Raw genomic sequence first — 8,429 nt, forward strand, 5'->3', positions numbered from 1 at the left:
TAACAAGAAATACTTAAAAGTTGTGTACTTACTTTGTTTTCTCTCTCCCTACAGAGAACATAAACTTCATGAGAGTATACACCATTTGCTTTCTTGTTCACTGTTACCCCCTCAGCATTTAACACAATGCCTAGTACCTAATACATGCTCAATGCTTATCTACAGAATGAATAAATGAAAGTGAAGGTCTCTTCCAGCTCACTTCAAGAAGGTATGAAATGGATTCCAGGACCCAGCCATTCAGAGGAACTGAGAGAGATGCTGAGTTGTTTTTAGTATGGTGTACTGTTTTTCTTAATTGTTATCTTTTTTTTTTTTTTTTTTTTTTTTGAGACGGAATCTCGCTCTGTAGCCCAGGCTGGAGTGCAGTGGCGCGATCTCAGCTCACTGCAACCTCTGTCTCCCCAGTTCACACGATTCTCCCGCGTCAGCCTCCTGAGTAGCTGGGATTACAGGCGCACACCACCACACCCGGCTAATTTTTTTTGTTTTTGTTTTTGTTTTGAGATGGAGTCTTGCTCTGTTGCCCAGGGTGGAGTGCAGTGGCATGATCTCAGCTCACTGCAACCTCTGCCTCCTGGGTTCAAGCGATTCTCCTGCCTCAGCCTCCTGAGTAGCTGGGATTACAGGTGCGCGCCACCATGCCTGGCCAATTTTTGTAGTTTTTTTAGTAGAGACAGGGCACCATATTGGTCAAGCTGGACTCGAACTCCTGACCTCGTGATCTGTCAACCTCAGCTTCCCAGAGTGCTGGGATTATAAGCATGAGCCACTGTGCCCCACCTTTTTTGTAGTTTTTTAGTAGAGTTTTCACTCTGTTGGCCAGACTGGTCTTGAACTCCTGACCTTGTGGTCCGCCCGCCTCGGCCTCCCAAAGTGCTGGGATTACAGGCGTGAGCCACCAAGCCCGGCCGTTGTTATCATGTTAAAAAAAAAACATGACAAAGGGCCGGGTGTGGTGGCTCATGCCTGTAATCCCAGCACTTTGGGAGGCTGAGGCAGGCAGATCACTTGAGGTTGGGAGTTCAAGATCAGGCTGGTCAAAATGGTGAAACCGTCTTTACTAAAAATACAAAAATTAGCCGGGTATGGTGGCAAGTGCCTGTAATTCCAGCTACTCAGGAGGCTGAGGCAGGAGAATCGCTTGAATCCAGGAGGTGGAGGTTTCAGTGAGCCAAGATCGCCTTACTGAACTCCAGCCTGGCGACAGAGTCCCCCAAAAAACATCACAGGAGAATGTGTAGAGGGTGGATATGGAGGACAGGCCTGGTCACAGATGCACTTCCCAAGTGAGAGTCTTAGTAGCCAAAATAGCAGGGCAATGTCGTGCTCAGACTATACCCCAGTCATGGCCTCTGGGGTGGCAGCTTTAGATATAGGCAAAGCCACCCCATTTCCTGTGGCCTCAAAACATTCAGGATCATAGCTCCCATAACATTCCAGTTCCTAATGTGTCTTCTGCTCTAAATTCTAAATTCCCTGAGGTCAGGAACTAGGTCTGTCTGGCTCACCAGATAACCTGAGTTTGGCACAGAAGGAACAAAAGAACGAATGAATGAAAGAATACAAGGAGTTGAGAGAACTCCAGAAAAGCCAGAATCAGTAGCTGTCATACCCCATCTTGCCAGGAGGTGGCAGTACAGAAGTATTTTCTGAGATGGCTGCTCAGCCTGAGCCTTGCAGTCTGGGCACAGAGTCCCGTTTTGACCCGGGGAGGGAGTGGAGTTGGGTGATTTTTGAAAAATTTATTACGGGCTTATAAGAAGAGGCACAGCGGCCGGGCGAGGTGGCTCACGCCTGTAATCCCAGCACTTTGGGAGGCCGAGGCGGGCGGATCATGAGGTCAGGAGATGGAGACCATTCTGCTTAACACGGTGAAACCCCGTCTCTACTAAAAACACAAAAAAGTAGCCGGGCGACGTGGTGGGCGCCTGTAGTCCCAGCCACTCGGGAGGCTGAGGCAGGAGAATGGCGTGAACTCGGGGGGCGGAGCCTGCAGTGAGCCGAGATTGCGCCACTGCACTCCAGCCTGGGCAACAGAGCGAGACTCCGTCTCAAAAAAAAAAAAAAAGAAGAAGAAGAAGAGGCACAGCTGGGTCAGGGAGACTGCAGCCCCACAGAGACACCAACGCTATATGGGAAGACAAGTGCTATTCTGGCCCTTAGGAGCCCTGAGGAAGGAGGATTAAGTTTGAGGCATTTGGGGAAAGTTCACAGAGATGACATTTGAACTGGGCCTAAACATAAGGAGAATTTATCCAGTTGGAGGACATTCTGGGTAGAGGTAACAGACTCATGGGAAACTGGGGGAATGATGAATTGTCAAGGATGGCTGGGTTATCCTGAGTTTGGTGGGAGATTAAATAAAAAGTTCTGGTGAGACCTCACTTCTTGTTTTTTTTGTTTGTTTGTTTGTTTTTTTTTTTGGAGACAGAGTCTCCCTCCGTCACCCAGGCTGTGCAGTGGCTTGATCTCGGCTCACTGCAGCCTCTGCCTCCCAGGTTCAAGCGATTCTTGTGCCTCAGCCTCCCGAGTAGCTGGGATTACAGGCACATGCCACCATGCCTGGCTAATATTTGTATTTTTAGTAGAGATGGGGTTTCACCATGTCGGCTAGGCTGATCTCAAACTTTTGACCTCAAGTGATCTGCCTGCCTCGGCCTCCCAAAGTACTAGGATTTCAGGCATGAGCCACTGAGCCCAGCCTCACATTTTTAATGAAAGGACAACATTCATTCTTCTTTTCTTTTTTTTTGAGATGAGGTCTGGCTCTGTCACCCAGGTTAAAGTGTAATTGCGTGATCTCGGCTCACTGCAACCTCTGCCTCCCAGGCTCAAGCAATCCTCCCACCTCAGTCTCCCAAGTAGCTGGACTACAGGCACCCACCACAACATCCAGCTATTTTTTGTATTTTTTTGTAGATATAGGGTTTCATCATGTGGCCCAGGCTGTTCTGGGAATTGGGATTACAGGTGTGAACCACCATGCCTAGGCAATGAAAGGACAACGGTCTTATGAAATTAATGCAATGCATACAGAAGGGTCTGAAGAAAGTTATTCAATTGAGATTTATGTGTCAGGCATATAGTAGAGGCTCAATAAACTTGAGTGAATGAATCATGAATTCTAGGTGGTTTCTTTGCTAAATCATAGGTCTTTGCTGATACTTTAAGAGTGTTTTCAGGCTGTGTGTGGTGGCTCATGCTGTAATCCCAGCACTTTGGGAGGCCAAAGAGGGGGGATTGCTTGAGGCCAGGAGTTTAAGACCAGTGTGGGCATCAAAGTGAGACCCCCTGACTGTATAAAAATTTCAAAAATTAGTCTGGGCTGGGCGCAGTGGTTCATGCCTGTAATCCCGGCATTTCGAGAGGTCAAGGCAGGCGGATCACTTGAGGTCAGGAATTCGAGACCAGCCTGGTCAACATGGTGAAACCCCATCTCTACTAAAAATACAAACGTTAGCCAGGCATGGTGGTGAGCACCTGTAATCTCAGCTATTCAGGAGTCTGAGGCAGGAGAATCACGTGAACCTGGGAGGCAGAGGTTGCAATGAGCCGAGATCATGCCACTGCACTCCAGCCTGGTGACAGAGCAAGACTCCATCTCAAAAAAAGAAAAAAATTAGTCTGGAGTGGTAGTGCATGCCTGTAGTCCCAGCTACTCAGGAGGCTGAGGTGAGAGGATCACTTGAACCAAGGAGGTAGAGGCTGTAGTGAGCTGTGATCACACCACTGCACTCGTGCTTGTGTGATAGAGCAAGACCCTGTCTCAAAACAAACAAAAACAGCATGTTTTCAGCTGGGCAAGGTGGCTTATGCCTGTAATCCCAGCACTTGGAAAGTGGAGACAGGAGGCAAGAGGATTGCTTGAGGCCAAGAGTTTAAGCCTACAGTGAGCTGTGATTGTGCCACTGCACTCATCTGGAGCAAGACCCTGTATCTCACACACACACACACACACACACACACACAAATGTGTATTCCAGGATTCTTCCCCCTGTGTAAGAAGTTCTTCACAGACAGCTTTTCTTTACCCCAAAGACAAGAAATCCTGACCCCGAAAAGGGAAGGATTGCAATAACCAATAAGATCTCTGGCATCCAGAGCCTTATTATAGGATTCTCAAGTCCTGTCCCCAGAACACAGTCTTCTTTCCCAGAGCTGAGACAATAATAATTATTGCTTTGGCCGGGCGTGGTGGCTTACGCCTGTAATCCCAGCACTTTGGGAGGCCTAGGTGGGCAGATCACTTGAGGCCAGGAGTTTAAGACCAGCCCGGCCAACATGGTGAAACCCTGTCTCTACTAAAGATACAAAAAAATTAGCTGGACATGGTGGCTCGTGCCTGTAATCCCAGCTACTCTAGAGGTTGAGGCAGGAGCATTGCTTGAACACAGGAGGCGGAGGTTGCAGTGAGCCAAGATCATACCACTGCACTGCAGCCTGGGTGACAGAGCAAGACTCCGTCTCAAAAAAAAATTGCACATATTTTTATATTTATTTATTTTTTTGAGATGGAGTCTCGCTTTGTCGGCCAGGTTGGAGTACAGTGGCGCGATCTCTGCTCACTGCAAACTTCACCTCCCAGGTTCAAGTGATTCTCCTACCTCAGCCTCTTGAGTAGCTGGGATTACAGACGTGTGCCACCACGCCTTGCTAATTTCTGTATTTTTAGTAGAGATGGGGTTTCACCATGTTGGTCAGGCTGGTCTTGAGCTCCTGACCTCAGGTGATCTGCCCGCCTCGACCTCCCAAAGTGCTGGGATTACAGGTGTGAGCCACTGTGCCCGGCCCTGCTTATATTTTTATAGCAACCAATGTCATCCGTCACTTCCATGTGAAGTCCACTGGAAACATTTCAATCCTCATTTTTACTTAATTCAGAGGGTGATTTTTTCTTGAAACATTCTCCTTCCTCATTGTCTGACCCAGTACTCTTCAATTTGCCACCTGCCTCTCTCCTCTTCTTAGTTTCATTTGCCACGTCCTATTCCTCTCCTCTGTAGCCATTAAAGGTCCAGTTCCAGGCCCTGCCCTCCTCTGGCTCTAACCTCTCTTCCTGAGTGGTCTCATTCTTTCCCATGGTTGCAATTACCATCTGGGTGTTATCAGTACTCAGAACTCTCTCCATAGCCTTCTCTCTGGGCTCCAGTCCACATATCCAATAACATTTGTGACTTTTTTTTAACTTGGATGTTTCTTAAGATATCTTCTCCTCAAGTATACAAAAACTCTCATCTTCCCTAGAGAACCTGTTCCTCTCCAGGGTCCCTGTCATGGTGGATGTCTGCATCATCCAACTCGTTGCTTAAGCCAGAGGCCTGTGCGAGTCACTCTCGACTCGAGTCCTGAGCATCCCATCCCCTCAGTGTCTCCTGAATCTAAGACTCTCCGTTCCCACCACTTCCCTCATCTTGAGCCACCTCTTCTGTAGGCCATTCTCTCCTCAGTAGCCAAAGTGCCTCTTTAAAAATGCAAATAGGATCATACTATGTCTCAAAATTCTTCAGATATCTTCTTATTTCTCTTAAATAAAATCCAAGCCCGCCGGGTGCAGTGGCTCATGCCTGTAATCCCAGCACTTTGGGAGGCTGAGGCGGGCGGATCACCTGAGGTCGGGAGTTCAAGACCAGCCTGACTAACATGGAGAAACCCCCGTCTCTACTAAAAATACAAAATTAACTGGGTGTGGTGGCGAATGCCTGTAATTCCAGCTACTCGGGAGGTTGAGGCAGGAGAATCGCTTGAACCTGGGAGGCGGAGGTTGTGGTGAGCCGAGACTGCACCATTGCACTCCAGCCTGGGCAACAGGAGCGAAACTCCGTGTCAAGAAAAAAAAAAAATCCAAGCCCTTTAAGCATGACCATCAAGACCGTGTGGTCTGGCCGACGCCTGACACCTCTCAGGCTCTATCTCATGGTGTTTTATCCCCACTCTCCTTCAGTTAGTTTGAATTTCATTTAAACATTCATTCATTCATTCATTCATTCATTCAGGCATCCAGGTATTTATTGAGTGCCTTATTCGTGCCAGGTGTGGTGCGAGGGGCTTGAGTGTGAACAAGGCGAACCTGCTGCCTCATGAAGCCTCCAGGGCTTTCTCTTCCTGTGTCAGGGCCTTCTCCACTACTCCCCCTGCTCCAACACACACACTCCACTCCCCTCAACTACTAACCCCTGCTCATGACTTGGATCAAAATTCAATATCATTCCTCCCTGAAACGTTCCCTGGAGCTCTTGGGCTCATCCAGGAACCCCTGTTATGCATTCCTATGGTCCCGACCTTGCCCTTCACTGCCCACTTCTGATTCTCCTGATGGATCACAGGCTCCACGAGGCTAAAACCCAGATCTACCGTGTTCCCCAGTGCCTGGCACTGTGCCTGTCATGAACCCGATACATACTGGTTGAATGAAAGGATGTGTCCTTTTCATTTGGATCTGGTTTTTTTAGAACATTTGAGGCTATCTTAAATGCTGCCACAGCCGCAGCCACCCTTGTCAAAGCCTTGTACAATCAAGTCTACAATACTTCAACACTGTGCTTTTTTGTTTTGTTTTGTTTTTGAGACAGGGTCTCACTGTGTTGCCCAGGCTGGAGTGCAGTGGTGTGATCTTGGCTCACTGCAACCTCCGCCTCCCGGGTTCAAGAGATTCTCCTGCCTCAGCCTCCCGAGTAGCAGGGATTACAGGTATCCACCATCACACCTGGCTAATTTTTGTAGTTTTAGTAGAGACGGAGTTTCACCATGTTGGCCAGGGTGGTCTCAAACTCCTGACCTCAAGTGATCTGCCCTCCTCTGCTTCCCAAAAGTGCTGGGATTACAGGCATGAGCCACCACACCCGGCTCTACACTGTGGTTTGAAGGAGGCCACTGAGCCCTGACATCTTCCCGACTGGGGAAGGTAAACACCCAGCCTGCACAGAGGTCTGCTGCCAAAGCCCTTCCCTGCAGTCAAATCATCCTATGGGAAGGCAGCCTGAGGGTGTCACACAAACAACACGGGCTTTCAGTGGAGACGGATTCTAGTTTCCAGTCTTGCACTTACTAGTTGTGGGCACAGGGCACTCAGTGTTTCTGACCCTCAGCTTTCCTGCCTGTGGAGGCGTGCGTGATAACATGTGGGCCCCAGGGAGGAGTTCATGAGCTGTCGCAAAGCACATTGGGACCATGAGTGGTTTGCTTCTTTCCTCAACGTGAGGCGGTGCTGGTTAGTGGCTAGCTGTCTGGGTTCTGCGTCAGACAGACCAGTGTCTGAATCTGTCACTTCTTAGCCAGCCAACCTGAGAGAAGTCTCAGCTTCCTCACGTGGGAAATGAGGACAAAGTTGTACCTGCACCCCAGGGCTGTTGTGAGCTGTGAAACTCATGTGTATGCAGGGTTCATGTGTATGCCTCGTTGTGAGACTGGCACATGATAAGGGCCCAAAAAATGTGCTCGACATCGTGCCAGGGACCAAAAGGGAGAGAGAAAACTGATCAGCGGGTCGGGTGCGGTGGCTCACGCCTGTAATCCCAGCATTTTGGGAGGATGAGGCGAGCAGATCACCTGATGTTGGGAGTTCAAGACCAGCCTGACCAACACGGAGAGACCCTGTCTCTACTAAAAATACAAAATTAGGCGGACGTGGAGGTGCACACCTGTAATCCCAGCTACTCGGGAGGCTGAGATAGGAGAATCGCTTGAACCTGGGAGGAGGAGGTTGCAGTGAGCCGAGATCACACCATTGCACTCCAGCCTGGGCAACAAGAGCAAAACTCCACCTCAAAAACAAATAAAACAAAAACAAACAAACAAAAACAAACGATCAGCAGCTCTGATCTGCATTGGTGAATTCATAAGGGAACTATTTATCAAGCATCTAATTTGTGGAGGATCCTGCAGGGGCTGCCATCCAATGGGCTCTTGGCTCCCAAGTCTAGTAGAGAAGACACGTACATAAGCCAGGAAGCTTTCACATGTTCACATGGAAAGCATAAAGGGCCTAAGAAAGATTTCGTTTTTTAAAAAAGCCATAGCTGGGTGCGGTGGCTCATGCCTGTAATCCCAGTACTTTGGAAGGCTGAGGCAGGTGGATCATCTGAGGTCAGGAGTTTGAGACCAGACTGGCCAACATGGTGAAACCCCATCTCTACAAAAATACAAAAATTAACTGGGCGTGGTTGGTGGGCCCTGCAATCCCAGTTACTCGGGAGGCTGAGGTGGGAGAATCGCTTGAACTCAGGATGCAGAGATTGCAGTGAGTTGAGATCGCGCCACTGCACTCCAGCCTAGGCTACAGAGTGAGACTCTGTCTCAAAAAAAAAAAAAAAAAAAAGCCAGGGACTCAAAAATCTGTGTTTTTTTGTTTGCTTGAGACAGGGTCTTGCTCTGTTGCCCAGGCTGGAGTACAGTGGCATGATCATCGCTCACTGCAGCCTCAACCTCCC

The 8,429-nt window shown here is 48.8% G+C and overlaps 1 annotated feature.

Moving 5' to 3' along the window:
- Positions 2,103–2,152: an enhancer, noted in NCBI's record as "active region_606". NCBI's record gives its function as "activates an Ori minimal core promoter by ATAC-STARR-seq in GM12878 lymphoblastoid cells {active_cell/tissue: GM12878}" and the evidence as "EXISTENCE:reporter gene assay evidence [ECO:0000049][PMID:35858748]".

This window comes from Homo sapiens, chromosome 1, assembly GCF_000001405.40.
Source record: "Homo sapiens chromosome 1, GRCh38.p14 Primary Assembly".
NCBI classification, from domain to species: domain Eukaryota; kingdom Metazoa; phylum Chordata; class Mammalia; order Primates; family Hominidae; genus Homo; species Homo sapiens.